We start from the raw sequence: 17,081 nt of genomic DNA on the forward strand, positions 1-17,081 counted from the left end.
TTATCTCTTCTCCTGTTGATGGAAACCTTGCTGTTTCTAGTTTTTGGCTATTATGAATAAAACTGCCATGAACACTTGTATACAAGTCTTTGTGTGGGCTTATATTTTCATTTCCCTTTTAAACACCTAAGAGTGGAATTGCTGAGTTGTGTGGTACATTTAACTTTATAAGAAACTGCCAAACTGTTTTTCAAAGTTGTATCATTTTACATTCTCCCCAGCAATGTATGAAAATACTATTTGTTCCATATCCTCTCCAACACTTGGTTTCATCAGTCTTTAATTTTAACCATTGTAGTGTGTACATGTAATATCTCATTAGAGTTTTAATGTGCATTTTCCTGATGATTAATGACATCTTTTCATGACTTTATTCATCATTCATATATATTTTGTGAACTGTCTTTTCAAATACTTCACCCATTTTTAAATTGAGTTGTCTTCTTATTATGGATTTGTAAGAATTATTGATATATTCTGGATATAAGCCCTTTTATGATCTCGGTATTGAAAATATTTTCTTCCAGTCTACCATTTGTCCATTCCTTTTCTTAATGGTGTGTTTTGAAGAGCAGAAGTTATTAATTTTGATGAAATCCAATTTATCAATTTTTCTTTTATGATTCAGAGTTAATTTTGTTTGTTTCAGTTTTGGTAATGTGTATAATTCAAATAATTTTTTCATTTGATCTAAATTGTCAAGTTTATTGTTCTTTATAATGTTCTTTTCTTATCCTTTTAATGTCCATAAGACTTGTGTTATTATCTTTCTTTCATACAGGACAGTAACTTATGTTCTCTCTTTTAGTCTAGTTGGAGGCTTATCAGTTTGACTGATTTTAAAAATTACTTCCATTAACTTTCTCTCTTGTTTGTTTTCTATTTTTATTGACTTCTGCTCTTATATCTATTATTTCTTTTCTTCCAGTTGTATTAGGTTTTAATTTGCTTGCCTTTTACTAGCTTCTTAAAATACAAGCTTAGATTTTTGATTTTAGATCTCCTTTTTAAATAAAAACACTTAAAGCTATAGATTTATCACTAAAAAATGCCTTAGGTGCCCTATACAAATTTTGATACATTTTATTTTCATTTTTATTAAGTTAAAAATAGTTTGTAATTTTCCATGTGATTTCTTCTTTGAACTGTGAGCTATTTGGAACCTATTTCTAAACATTTGGGGACTTTCTAAACATCTATCAGTTTTTTCTCCTACTCCTTGCCCTCTTCCTCCTTCTCCCCTTCTTTCTTTTATTGTTGATTTCTGGTTTCTCTATGGTCAGATAAATACTTTGTATGATTTTAGCATTTTCAAATTTATTGAGACTTGTTTTGTAGCCCAGCATATGGCTTGTCTACTGGTAAATGTTCCATACATGCTAGAAAAGAGCGTGTATTCTGCTAGTATTTTATAATTGTCAATATGTCAAGTTTAGCTGTTAGTATTATTTAAGTTTTCTATATTTTTATTCATTTGGTCTATTTATTCTATAAAACGCTGAGAGAGGAGTGTTAACATTGCAAACTATAATTATGAATTTGTCTTGTGAATTTGTCAATTTCTCCTTTCAGTTACATCAGTTTTTCCTTCATGTAATTTAAAGTTCTGTAATTGAGTGCATACACATTTAGGATTGCTATATTTGTCTATTTTATCTTTGGTAATAGTACCTGTCCTGAAGTTAATAACGCTACATTGTCTGAAGTTAATACTGTTCTTCAGATTTTCTTATGATTAGGATTTGTATGAACATTCTTTTTAATTTTTTTTACTCTTTATAAGTATGTTTTCTTTAGACAGCATATGGCTGTCTTATTTTTAAAAATGCTTTCTGATAATTTCTCCATTTCAATGAAAGCATTTAGATCATTTATATTTAATGCAATTATTGATATATTTGGGTTTAAATATACTATCTTGCTATTTGTTTTCTGCATTTCCCTTTTCACTTATTTCCTACAATATTTTACATTTGTTATTTTGTTATTATTTCATTTTGTCTTTCCTGTTGGCTTGTTAGCTATAGTTGTAGGATTTATAACATGCATTTTAAATTGGTCAACATCTGCTTTAAATAGCATAATACCATCTCAAGAATGATGTAGGAATCTTACAGCAATATATACTTCTATTTCTTCTTCCCACTTTTTGGTACTATCATTGTCATAATTTCTCCTTCTACATATGTTATAAAACCTGCACATTCATTGACATTATTTTTTGCTTTAAGGAGTCAATTATTTTTTAAGACATTTAGAAATGAGGAAAAAGTCTTTTTTTTTTTTTTTTTTTTTTACTCACACATTTACCACTTCTAGTTTTTCGTTCCTTTGTGTTGATCCAAATTTTCATCTGGTATAATTTTCTTTAACCTGAAGAACTTTATCATTTCTTGTAGACTGCTCATGAAGAATTATGTCAGGTTTTGTCATTTTTGAAGAGTAGTTTAATTAAACACAGATTCCTATGTTGAGAGATTTTGTTTTTCTTTCAGCAATATAACGATTTTGTTCCATTGTCTTTTGGCTTTCATTGTTCTAATAAGAAATCTATCAACATTATCTTTTTCCTTTGTATATGATGTGTCATTTTTCTATAGCAGCATTTAATATTTGATTATGATGTGCACCAGTGTATTTTATTCATACTTAACTTGTTTGGGATTCACTGGACTTCTTGGATATGTGGTTTTATAGTTTTCATTAATTTTGGAAAAATTTCTGCCATTATTTTTAAAGTTAAAAATTTCTATCATTAAAAAAACAGATTTTTTTTTTTGCTTGCCTTCATCATCTTTGTAAATTCTGGTCCCATTTTACTTGATTTTTTTTTCCTGTTAAGAATCACATTTTTCTGTTTCTTATAATAGCTCTTAAATTTTAAATAGATATTGGGCACTATACATTTAACCTTCTTCAATGCTTGTAACTTTTTTTTTGTCTTAAAAAAAGTTAGATGTTCTTGCAGGAGTTAAACCACTTGAGGATCTGCTTGTTCCTTTTGAAGCTTGCTGTTTAAGCTTTTTTGAGGGACAGATTAGCCCTAGTACGACAGCACTATTTTTTTCTGAGATTTCTACCAAATACCCTGGATGTTAATAAGGGTTTTCCTTTCTGCTGGTTAAAATTTGAAAATCTCCCACATCTATGTGAGCTCTGGAAATTGTTTAGCTTATAGTACTTCTGGAATTTCTTTGCTGGGTTTTTGGGAGTTTTACCCCATGCATTTGTGACTTAGTATTCATAAGTAGATTCAAAAGGATACCTATGTAGGTTTCTGGAGCTTTTCTTTTCCATAACTACATCTCCTGTTGCCTGTCTTGCAAATTGCAGCACCTTAGTCTCCATGACCTCTGATCTTGTTTTCTTAACTCCGTAAGACTGCTGGGGTCTGCTTAGGTTATTTCTCCCTTCTGTGTTCACTGTGGTCCAGGAAGTGCCTCCAGGCAAAAAGCCAAGATAACACGTGGCCCATATTGTTTGCTTTCCTTCTTTCAGGGATCAAACTTCCCTATTAATTTTCCAGTGCCTGAAAACAATTGCCTTATATATTTTGTTCAGTTTTCTGTATGTTTTTAATAGAAGGAGAGTAAGGTTTTAGTAACTCCATCATAACTGGAAGCAGAACTCCAGTAACTTTTTTTTTTACATGCTACAAAAATAAGAAATTCTCCCAATCAAGATGCTTGTCAAGCAGGTCAGAAATGGAATACATTTGCCTTTATTTTTCTGGTTTACGTGTTTTTAAAAATTAAATATATACATGTTATTTATAATATTTAAGATATAAAATTATGCTATATGTTAGAAAACAGGTATAAACATATGAGCATCACTTATATTTACAATTATTTAATGACTTCACAGTCTTCCTTTTTTATTTTGAATTATACACACTTTTAAAATGTATTATCTGGTTACTGTACTCTGTACACAGTCAGCAGTACAAAAACTGTCTTTGCAAATAGCAGCTTTTAAAAATGCATATAACAATCTATATGCATTAGATATTTACTATTTGCATTTAATGTTTTATTTTTAGTTTCCTTCAATTATATCGCTATAAGATAGAAGGCTGATTGCCTTGTTTTCTACAACTTGGCTTCAATTTTTCTTTTAGAATAAAGATTAGAGTTAAACACAGGATGCTGAGAAAGTTCAACCTGATAACCACAATAGTTGTAATTAGCACATATACGATCTTTTATCACATTTTTTGTTATTTTATTTTTTTCAGGCTAAAATAAGGCCACTAATGGGTCTGAGGAGTATGTGCATAGATAAAACCATATCATTTTTGAATATAGTTAGATTTAACTGGGAATATCATGTGCATATACACCTATATACATCAAAATGGGTACATAAATTTCAGTATTCTTATTATTGCCAAATTTCAAGTCTTAATTTTACTCTTTTCCTTATTTATGACATAATATGTCATGGTGCAGTTCTCCAGGAGTACCTATAAAGTATTTCCTGTGTGACATAAAGCTTTACATAATCCCATTTGGATTAAGGTGTATAGAACCAAGTCTTATATTCAAATAAATGATGGTATGTGAAATGTGGGTGTATCTTACTGTAATCAATTTGATTAGAGTGTTTTCTTTTTTCTTGAAAGATACAATTCATCTGCAGAAAACATGTATTATTCTTAATAAATTAATAGAAATAGTCTAGTGCTATATTTAAAAGGAAAAAAAGGAAGGAAAGAAAAAAGGAAGGAAGGAAGGACAAAGGAAGAAAATTGCCTAAAATTCCCTGATTGAGGGAATGGAGATCAGGTGTAGAGCAAGTAAAGAACTGAGCTATCTTCAATTTTAAAAAATCCACATGATAAATAGCACTACGTATTTTACTTAATCCTCACAAGTGGTGTGGATTACTGAGTGGTGAACTGGCTAAACTTAAGTGCATTTTTAAAAGTCTTTCTTAAAAATTCTAAGTTTCAAAATACAGGTTCTATTTTCTTAAAAGGATATTTCTGCTATATATGTGTTTAATTAAGATCAATTATTTCCTTGTTTGATACCTATGCCACTAAAGCAGATGACCCCTATAAAGTGTTTACTATTAGTTTTAATCGCAAAATGGTTGGAACTGTGTTTGCTCTGTGTTCTGTCTCTCTGGAATACATATTTCTATTATTCTAGGAGATTCAACTTCCATTTCTTTCTGGGTACAATGTTACTTCTGTGTTTGCAGCCTAGACTTGGACTGAATTTGTAGAATGTCTTAATAGTTATTGAAATGTAATGTTATTTGTTTATACAAATGCTACTAAAATAACACTAAAAATATGAAAAGTACATTTTATATAAAGTAGACAATAAACTTGGTGAATTTATTTAAATTTCATTAATAGGGATTTATCTAAGCACATTTTATTATCATGTTGACATTTAAAAATCAACGATCAGGATCTATTTTCAACTTTCTATGCATTCTAAGGATGATGTTCTTTTTGAATCTTTAGAAATAAACCATGCTTAAAATCCAAAATTTTCCTGATTAAAAACGCTCAACAAACTAGGCATTGAAAGATCATACTTTGAAATAATAAAAGCAATCTGTTGCAAACCCACAGCCAATATCATGAATGGGAAAAAACTGGAAGCATTCCCATTAAGCAGGAGCAACACAAGGATGCCCACTCTCACTACTCCTATTCAACTTAGCACTGGAAGTCCTAGCTAGAACAAGCAGGCAAGAGAAAGAAATAGAAGGCCTCCAAACAGGAAAAGAAGTCAAATTATCCCTCTTTGCTGATAATATTATTCTCTTCCTATAAACAACCAAAAATATTCTAGAAATGATAAATGTCTTCAGTAAAGTTTCGAGATACAGAATCAATGTGCAAAAATTAGTAGCATTTCATGAACCAATAATGTTCCAAATCAAGAATGCAATCCCATTTACAACAGTCAAAAAATAAAATAGCGGGGAATACATCTAACCAAGGAGGTGAAAGGTCTCTACAAGGAGACCTACAAAACACTGCTGAAAGAAATCATAGATGACACAAACAAATGGACAAACATTCCATGCTCATGAATAAAAAGAGGCAATATTGTTAAAATGTCCATACTCCCCAAAGCAATTTACAGATTCAATGCTATTCCTACCAAACTACCAATGTCATTTTCCACAGAATTAGAAAAAACGATTATGAAATTTATAGAAAGTGAAACAGAGCCTGAATAGTCAAAGCAATCCTGAACAAAAAGAGCAAAGCTGGAGGCATCACATTACCCGACTTCAAACTATACTATAAGGTCACAGTAACCAAAACAGCATGGTACTGGTACAAAAACAGACACATAGGCCAATAGAATAGAATAGAAAACCCAGAAATAAAGCTGCACACCTACAGCCATCTGATCTTCAACAAAGTTGATGAAAATAAGCAATGTATAAAGGACTCCCTATTCAATAAATGGTGCTGAGACAGCTGGCTAGCCATATGCAGAAGTGCTGAACTGGACCCCTATCTTTCACCATCTACAAAAATTAAATCAAGATGGATTTAAGATTGGAATGTAAGACCTCAAACCATAAGAATCCTAGAAGAAAACCTAGGAAATACCATCTGGATAACAGATGCTGGTGAGGCTGTGGAGAAAATGGAATGCTTATATTGGGGAATATAAGCATTTATTGCTTGAGGGAAATATAAATTAGTTCAGCAACTGTGGAATGCAGTTTGAAGGTTTCTCAAACAACTTAAAACAGAATTATCATTCGACCCAACAATTCCATTACTGGGTATATACCTGAAGAAAAATAAATCGTTCTACCAAAAAGACACATGTACTTATATGTTCATTGCAGCAGTATTCACACTGAAGAAGACATGGAATCAACCTAGATGTCCATCAGCAGTAAACCGGATAAATAAAACGTAGTACATATACAATATGGACTACTATGCAGCCATAAAAAAGAAAAAAAAGCATGTCCTTTGCAGCAACATGGCGGCAGCTGGAGGCCATTATCCTAAGTGAATTAATACAGGAACAGAAAACCAAAGACCACATGTTCTCACTTATAAGTGGAGGCTAAGCATTACGTACGCATGGACATAAAGATGAGAACAATAGACATGGAGGACTAGTAGAGTGAGATAAAGGGATGGGGGCAAGGACTGAAAAACTACCTATTGGGTACTATGCTCATGATCTGGGTGATGGGAATCATTCATACCCCAAACTTCAGCATCACACAATATACCCATGTAACAAACCTGTGCACATACCCCCTGAATCTAAAATAAAAGTTGAAATTATTTTTTAAAATACGGTGAAAAAATGAAAACAAAAATCCATCATGCTTTTATGCTTTTGCTGATTGCTGCCTGGAAACAGCAAGTTCACCTTCAGTGGCTCCGCAGCGTTATTAAAAAATACATGTTAATATTAAAACATCTTTTAACAAAGCTTTTTTAATTCCAAAGAATATCTGTTATGAATGATGCTCATGACATTAACCAATCACTTAGATCTTGACATAATGCCACAGGAAAAGAAATTTTTAGTCAATGACAGGGAAAATTACATGTATATTATGTATAAATTGGTATGTGTATGTTGCATGTATATATATATATATATACACATACATACATATGTATATGAAAGATCAGTTTACAGAATAATTGTTGTAATGATATATATGGTTAACATTTTTTATGTTTGTACATTTTTTATATCTATCTATCTATCATCATGTAGTGTAAATGAGTATTTCCCATTCTAATCTAGCCTCAGCTTGAAATAGAAAATAACCATTGGTAATAAATTACAGATACTCTTTGTATAGCAGTAAAACTGGACTGCAAGTTTCAATTCCTGAAACCATGTTGCTCCAATTTTATGCCCATAGTTCCCTAAGGTTCAAAAAGACCTTTTGGTGTCTCTACTTCACAGAGAGAATCAGATTTGATGGAATACAGTACCCATATATGTAATCCCATTATCTCCTCAATTTTCTGTAATCTTTTTCTTTGCCTTACTCTAAATATTGTAGAAATATTAATTTCAAGGTATTATTCTATCCTAATAGACAACAGAAGAGAAAGCTACTTACAGCCAATCAACATGACACAAATTGAAAAGATTTTCTCCGAATTCGTGTTAGGAGACACATTCCCGAATCCTACACTGGTTAAACTGCTGAAGGTAAAATAAAGTGCTGTGACGTATTTGTCTTTAATGGATGGTCCAGAACTTGAGTCACTGTCATTGTAACGTTTCCCAATTTGCTGTCCTAAGGAATCCAACCATCCGATTTTGTCAGTCAGGTAAGGCCTTTCTACATTCCCAATCGCATACCAAATGCAAGCCAGCCAGTGAGCAATCAGGGCAAAGATGCACATTAAGAGCATTAGAACAGCAGCGCCATATTCTGAATATCGATCCAGTTTCCTGGCCACGCGCACAAGACGGAGGAGTCGGGCAGTCTTCAAAAGACCAATTAATGTTGTTGTCTGTAGAAATAAATGTACACAGTCAGAAACGGTCGGCAAACAATTCAAAGTACATTCATATGAAGCAAAGTGGACAAAAACAGGTTAAGACAATAGGGTAGCATTAAGGATAACTGCCTATTTAAATTCAGTATTAAACTTGGTTCTTTTTTTTTTATGTGATACCTGCTTTGGAAAATACTTTGAAAGTGCATGACACATTAATTCAGTATTGTGGCATGCAAGACATGGGGCACAGAATCTGTCTTGTTTTATGTTCTAAGTGCCTTGCATAAGTCCTCAGTGACTCATTCATTCACCAACATACATTCTAGTGTGTTACTGTGTGCCTACTAACGCCACAGGCTGATATTATAGTGTTAAACAAACAGACATGGTTACTTTCCTAATAGAGACAGCTATTTAACAGACAAAGTGTCTAATCTAATGAAGAGAAAACAAGATCCTAGTCTACTGAGGAGAGAGAGATTTTTTAAAAACAAACAAATAATTAATTTCAGAGAGAACAAAGTGCCATGATGATAGTAAGCAGAGAAATATGACAGAGGGTATTTGGAGGCATGGATTGGGGTAGAAACTGCTTTAAAAATGAAGACCAAGAAGGGCCTTGCTGAGGAGCTGACATTTGAGTTGCAAACCATCTGTATAATGAGAAGGAGCCAGTCAAGCCCCTTCTTCCCATAACTGTGGGAACACTTATTGGATGATTGCATGCATGAATTAGGCACTACATTTAAATGCATTTTTTATTCCTAAGTGTGCTAAATTGAGAAATTATTTCTTGATGTCCCAGTGATATTATAATTGCATTTTGCTTTTGGCTATGATATGTGTAACTAATTGGGTGATTATTACTGACCGGGTATCTAATGATAGGCTACTTCTATATAATAACAGGATACTTAACTGGTTGTTTGGACTTCAAATCTGATAAGTACAAATTACAAGTTCATTTCTTAGGTTTCCTAAATAATGTCAACTATAAGTACTATATAATTCACAGGGCATATAATTATTCCATAGTTACATGGTGTTTACCAATCAATTATTGAGTTATTTTATCTGTTCATTGTTGCTGCTTATTTCCCAAAGCACATCCAACTACATTAAGAACACTTATATCTTAATGGAAGAAATAGCACATGGAATAACTACCACACCCTATGTATTAATATTGATGATGAAAAAGGAGCACTAAATATTAAAAAAGCTTTTTCATTAAAATGTTCTTGCTGGTTGTGGTGGCTTGTGCCTATAATCCCAGTACTTTGGCAGGCTGAAGCAGTAGGATCACTTGAGCCCAGGTATTTGAGACCAGCCTGGGCAATATAGTGAGACTCGGCCTATACAAAAAATTAAAATAAAATAAAATAAATTAGCTGGGTATGGTGGTGGATGCCTGTAGTCCCAGCTATTCTAGAGGCTGAGGTGGAGGATCACTTGAGCCCAGGAATTTGAGATTGCAGTGAGCTATTATTGTGCCACTGCACTCAAGCCTGGGCAACAGAGCAAGACCCTGTCTTTAAAAGAATGTTCTAATAAGTGTTCTACAGTTTCTTGTTTTTCCCTTGTGCCATAGCAATCACAAGGGAAAGGGGATCCCTTAGTCTCCCCTGAATTATTCTCTGTTAGTATTGGAACCCTTTAAAGTTGAGAGGAACTTGTGTAGTTGACATGTATTTATCATAACTAGACTCTGGTCTCTGCTCATTTGGGGATGTTTAGAGAGGTGAGTCTTCTCTGTCTCCAGTACTGAGTTGTTTTTCAGAGTGGAATGAAGGTGCTTGCTTTTTTTCTTCTTTATAGGTTTAAAAGTATATTTCTTCCCTATGAATGAATATAGGTTTTAAATTATTATTGGCTGGATCCCTGAGAGAAAAGCAAACTTTCTAATATATGTATTATCAATATTTTAGCTTAGCAGTTATGTGCTACGACTTTGGAACAGACAAACTTATGTTTGAATTCTGCCTCCATAGAATGTCCCCTTGGATAAGTTATTCATTTAATCTTACACTTCATCTGTATATGAAGTGTAGTTTCTTCATCTGTGAATACAAATAATAAGGCCAACCTTACAGAGTTATAGATAATACCCAATAAACAGGAACTCTATGTTTCTATTTAAACATCCTTTACATTTTTCTTTCCATCAATAAGCAGGAACTTTATGTTGTGAAATGGGTTGAAAGAGCTTCCACCCTTTTTAAACGCAATACTTAGATATCTGGAATCACAAGTGGGGGCCTTTCCGTACTGGCCTTGCAGCTCGCCTCAAGAAATGGCAGGGGCATTGAAACAAAGGGACTTCATGAGGCACACTGACTGCTCAGACTCTGGTAGGAGTCACCCTGGTTCAACATTTCACCATTTCTACACAGCTCAGCTTCCTATGTTTATTTTTCCTCTTAATTCTACTTTCTGTTTATTTGTCCTGAGAAATCAGAAATATTTGAGAATTATGGTTAAAATTTTCTTGTTTTTGGAGCCAAATTTCTTTCTGATCCTCAAAATAAATGAAGTATAATAAAAATTCTCCAAATAGTTGGTTAAATGAAGTGAAAAGCTTTAAAATAAATGAGCTGTTTTTATAACATATTGTGATAATAAGTACTAATGACTCTGCTGGTTGTAAAGACGGTAGAGTAAAAATGATGTTATGATAAGAAGAGCAATGAAATCTGCTGTGCATGCAACCTTCCTTTTTGCCTTCCTTCCAAAGAAATCTCTGATGTTTCTTCTAGCATTCTATCAAAATGAAGTCAAAATCTATATGACAGTAAGTTCTCTAAGCAGATAAATCAATATAATGTGCATAGTAACATACAAGTGACATCATTTCTGGAAAAAGAAAGTTTAAGATATATGGGACATGTTGAAGTCTCAACATGTATGACAGTATTCATGTTAAATAATTGCAGAAGTAATGAGAGAGCCACAAAGTAGGGGGAAGGGGAAGAAATTACTAAGTAGTAATTATGTCTCTCAGTTGCATTATAAGGATGAGTGAATATTGACTTCAACAGTCAAAGCTATTCTCTTGTAATTCTGTAACATGTACTGCAGAATAACTACATATGCTGGCTTGACAATGTAACAGATGCCTTGCCTTACTTCTATTGTTATCAAATTGCGGCTAACACATCTGGGCATTCTTTGTTAGCTACAGTTGTGTATAACACATCTTGTAGATGATGCTTAGGATTGTAATAACTCTTTCCTGCTTATTATTTTAATATTTCTTTAAAAACTTAAGGTGTCTTGCCCCAGATTGCAGAATAGAGAGAAGTGATTGCATTAAAATCTAAGAGAGAGTAGATTTAATAATTATTAATCTTCTCCTGCCAATTTGTTATGAACCCTTAGCCCCATTGTTTAGTTTAATGGGCCATCTTTATGTTACCTGCAAGTGAAACAGGACCAACAACTACTCTATTATATTGTGCTAAGATCAGAATTTGACTGAGTATAATTGTTTTCAGAATGCATAATTATCTCCCAGCACATCTAATTTCATGTAATATCCAGACATGATGGAAATCCCAATTTTTTGATTTTTGAAAATATAATAAATGTAACTATCCATAAATTTGTTCACAATTTTAAAAACTAGAGTAAAAAACTGTCTCTTAGATGGTATTTCTTAAACTTTTCACTGGTATTAGAAAAATATTGTCTGTTTATTGTTATTCTTGAAAGCAACTAAAAAGAGCATAAAAGCTCACTAGATGGCAAAATGTGGTTATTGTTATAAAATACAAACACATAATGAAAATAAGATACAAAAACAGGTGAGTCATTTTGCAGTACATTGAAGCAAGGCACTTTGTTTTCCAGTCCTGCCACTAACTATAGCAAAGGGGACATAATGAACTCTTAACAAGTCAAGACTTCACCCACCAGCACCCATGCTATCTCAGAACTCAACTTATTTATTGTGATTGAATAATTTTCCAACTCTTTTTTCCAAAATGTCACAGTAAAGTCAGTCTCTGTGAGATTTTTATTTTTAATGTATCTTGTCAATATTATTGTTTTTAATCTAAAGTAACTCTCTTTCCAAAAATTCAATTATTCATTTTGCTGGGTGGCTGATTAATATCATTCAATTTCAAAACTTTAAAAACACATCCACATCCACTGTTTACTAAAGCCCTAGATGCCTTCTTATATTGAGGTAGAAGTTAGTTCCCTTTATTAGGTACATTAATTTTTAAACTAAGCACTATTTAAAAAATATATATATATATTCTAAACAATGAAGTTTTGTATGTATGTTAGATACTAAGTCCAGACTCAAGAAGACTGTGTGGTTGTTTTTTGTAGATATTTTACAATAAATCAGGCAAGATTCTCTCTTCATGCCAGTGGAATTCTTTTTGAAGGCTTGAAATTAGAATAAGTAACTTCTTGTCAGTATTAAACAACTCTCTACTCAAGAATAAATTGTCTACAGTTAAATGAAGAGAGACTCATTAATAAGAAAAAATATTTTGTTCAAAAATATTAAAAAATTTTTGAAAAATAATTGTACCTTATTTTTTAGTAAACATTTTTAAGAATCTTATATTTAAAATATATTATTTCAGAAATTTACTCTCTAAAACCTTTGCCTATAAATAAGTGATACAATTATTCTTCTATAAATAAAAATATGTAAGTATGTGATCTTTGGTTTCATATGCAGGGTTGATAGAATGAATGATCACTGAAACTTTCTACTTAATCCATCACTTGTCCTTTTTGTCAATAAATATTTGGGTGCAAGTGGGGAAATGTTAACACGAGATAAGTAATAAATTTCATTACTCCACACTCATATTTTGCTTTAGATTTCATTTCAGCTAATCCCCTCTAAGTTCTGGTATTTATATACATCATTCAATTATTTATCCAATAAAGCTCAACAATATCAGAAACTAGTTTCTAGTCCTTTGTTCAGCTTAACCACATCATTGCAATATTTCTAAGGATGCATTTACTAATACAATCAAAGAAATATATTTTGAATGTGTCTAAAATCTTGGGGAATTACCTAGATTGTAATTTATTTATATCAGACCTCACAAATACTTCTAAAGTATGGCTTTTAAAGAGGAGATTTTTACAATTTCACTGGGAAACTCATTTCAATATTTAATAACCTTTATTATTGAGACATTTATTTTTGTTTTGTTTTATAATTAACATTTTATTTTTCTGCAATTTGAACTCACTTTGGCTTTCTGTACAGTAGCAGACAACTGACCATCAAGTGATTCTAAACAGTAGTATGCAAATGTTACAACAAATAAATAACTAGGGATGTCATATTTTTTAAATGATAATTTGACTTGTCCTGAGAAATATTTTACCAAGGGTTATACTTTATGCCATCTCTAGCAAAATGTAGACAATCAATCACATACAAACGAACAAATGATCAACTAAAAGCAAAATAATTTTTCCACTGGGGATCTCATATCTCTTAAAAGTCATGCCATACATTTTTAGAGGCATGACCAATAGCTCCAAATATAAGCCAATAGAAACTTCTGTCTAAACTCCCAAAAACCATCTAAGGAGACTTAGCAACTTTATGTGTAGAAATGTATATGTATATGTGTCTGCAAAATATGATTTGTTCCTAAAAGTTGAACATGATTATATTGGATGTTTTAGAAATAAACTAATGATATCTATTATAAAGATCAAGTTCAGCTGTCGAAATGCTCAGAGTTTGCATATAGATACCTGCTAATGTTTTCCTTGCATCAATTTCACAATTCATCTATCAGACTAATAAATCAAACATATTATTATGATCAGAATCCCTCTTTTCTATTGGAATTTTCCCTCAAAGAGCACAGTAGTTACTTAGGTTTCAAAGGCCTTCTTTGCTTGTATTCAGGATTCAGAAAAAATAACGGTAAAGTGTGAAAGGAAAGGGGTCAATGAAGCAAATAATTAATTGCAAGAATCCTAATTTTCTGGGGAGTAAGAGGTTAATGAAGCATGTAATTGAGCAGAGTTTCGTAGATTTCAGCTGCTAATATCTCTGAAATTAAGATTTGCCATAGATGAGCTAAATACCGGAAAATATGAGGCGGATAATCAAAAGTTAACTTTCTGGAGACTGAGCCAATAACATTATTCCTTTGAACCAATGACACAGAAAAAATTTGCCAATGATTGACATAATGGGTGGTATGATGTTTGCTGATGCAGAAATTAGGAAATAGAGAATCTTTTTATTGTCTCTCTGGATGGCATTATCATCAGGGAGATATTAATGACATAGGCAAGCCCAGTTATTGCCAGTATTTATTTTCTTCAACATGTTTTTTAACATTATAGAATATCCTCTACTTATTGTAGGTGATTTGTAACCATGTGAGAAAAAAATTAAATAGTTAGGTCTTCTTTTTTTTTTTTTTTTTTTTTTTTTTTTTTTTTTTGAGATGGAGTCTCGCTCTTTCGCCCAGGCTGGAGTGCAGTGGTGCGATCTCTGCTATCTCTGCTCACTGCAAGCTCCGCCTCCCAGGTTCACACCATTCTCCTGCCTCAGACTCCCGAGTAGCTGGGACTACAGGCGCCCGCCACCACGCCCAGCTAATTTTTTTGTATTTTTAGTAGAGATGGGGTTTCACCGTGTTAGACAGGATGGTCTCGATCTCCTGACCTCATGATCCGCCAGTCTTGGCCTCCCAAAGTGCTGGGATTACAGGCGTGAGCCACTGCGCCCGGCCGTGACATGTCTTCTTTAGTAAAAACGTATACGCCAATATATCCTCTTAGCATTTATTAACACCTGTTACATAGATTACATAATATAGATACAAAGTTGATTTTTTTTCTAGGGTTGAATGTAAATAAAAGTGTTACAGTATCTTAACATTTAGGGAAATTGGCAAAGAAGATATTAATGTTTAATTGACATTGACAAAATTATGTTTTCTAAGCTCATCTATGATGCTTTGATGGATAGAAAACATTTTAGGGCCGGGCACACTGGCTCACGCCTGTAATTCCAGCACTTTGGGAGGCTGAGGCAAGCAGATCACTTGAGCTCAGAGTTCAAGATCAGCCTGGACAACATAGTGAAACTCTCTCTGCAAAAAAATATGAAAATTAGCCGGGTATGGTGGTGTCTGCCTGTAGTCCCAGCTCCTCAGGGGGGTGAGGCAGAGGATCACTTGAGCCCAGGAGGCAGAGGCTGCATTGAGCTGAGATCACACCACTGCACACTAGCTTGGGTGACAGAATGAGACCGTGTCTTAAAATTAAGCAATTAAGAAATTACGACTGTTCTTATAATTTGTTGAAAATCACTCTTAATTTGTTTATTTATGTACTTATGCATTTATTTATGTACTTATGCATTTACTGTGTAGAAATATTCATCTATGAACATATGAAAGCCCTCTCCTGGGATTCCTCTTTATCCCAGATATGGCTACTGGATCTTGTATATCTAAACAACAAAATCCCTGCCACTTTAAAAAGTGTAGGTTTTAAGGCTTTATTTTTGACCTGTCAAATATGTGTCTCCAGACCCTTAACAGATCCACACAGAAAACTGACACATGGTTCTTGTCTAGAAGCTGATCCAAACCAATCTTTGTCAGGATTCTATCTAACATTTAATTTAATGGATCTCATTTCTCTTCTTATACTGACATATTATTTTTCTAGATGCTCATGGGGTGCTTGACTTGCCTACATGTCACCTGTAGTTCAATAACCAATAGTCATCACAAACTTAAGTTGGCTAAAACAGGAATTTCTTCCCCACAACACACTTTTTCTCCCTAAGGTTTTTTCATCTGAATAAATGCATTACCATTTATAATTCTGCTTCAGCAACCCTCCTGCCCTTCACCAAAGAAATGTTTCAATAAGAATAAACAAGCAACAAAAAATGTTTGCACCACCCTTAATTCTGCTTTTTCTCCTACTCTTCCATTCAATACTTAATCCATCAACAAGCCTTGGCAGCTCACCTCCAAAATATATCCCAAATTTCTTTACTTTTCTTCATTTCTGTTGCTACCAAGCTGTTGTTTTGTCCTGCATCACAACATGTGGTCTGAACTAGTTCCCTGCTCCTAGCCTGACTCTCCAGTCTGCAGATGACAGCCTTTGCAGTCTTCAAAATGTCCATCGGATAGTATCATTCCTGTTCCAAAGACTCCATTGCAGCCAGAATAAGTAAGAAATCCCACATATCTAGGTGATTTGGTCTCTGTCTCTGCCTTCTCAAACCTTAGCATTCCACCTCTTACTGTGTGGTTCAGCCTGGCAGCCACCAGCCATCTTTCTGTTCCTCTACCATAACAAACTTGTTCCCCAAATGCGACATTTTCACTAGTGTTTCCTTCTGTGTGAAATGCTCTGCACGGTGGTCTCATGTGGATGGTTGCTTCCTATCAAGTCTCAACTCAAATGGCCTCTCCTTACTGGCCTTTTGTAATTTCCAATTCAAATTAGCCATCCATCCAGGTCATTCTCTATCACATCCACCTGCTTTGCTATCATCACAGCATTTACTCTTTCCTGAAACCTTTCTGCACTGTGTTTGTTGGTTTGTTTATTAATGGTCTTTTGCCCTCTG

At 33.3% G+C, this 17,081-nt stretch overlaps 1 protein-coding gene across 7 annotated transcripts in view; it reads right to left on the reverse strand.

Annotated features, from left to right (window-relative positions):
- KCNH7 (potassium voltage-gated channel subfamily H member 7) overlaps positions 1 to 17,081 on the reverse strand; it is a 467,361-nt gene that overhangs the window by 55,703 nt on the left and 394,577 nt on the right. For 6 of the 7 annotated variants that reach the window (XM_017005220.3, XM_017005219.3, NM_033272.4 and 3 more), the window contains one exon: positions 8,089 to 8,488. In XM_017005220.3, the coding sequence (XP_016860709.1) occupies positions 8,089 to 8,488 (400 nt within the window). Of the gene's footprint in view, positions 1 to 8,080; positions 8,489 to 17,081 lie in introns of those variants that run through there. The other variant, XM_017005221.3, reaches the window with a different exon arrangement.

This window comes from Homo sapiens, chromosome 2 (genome assembly GCF_000001405.40).
Source record: "Homo sapiens chromosome 2, GRCh38.p14 Primary Assembly".
In the NCBI taxonomy this organism is placed as follows: Eukaryota; Metazoa; Chordata; class Mammalia; order Primates; family Hominidae; genus Homo; species Homo sapiens.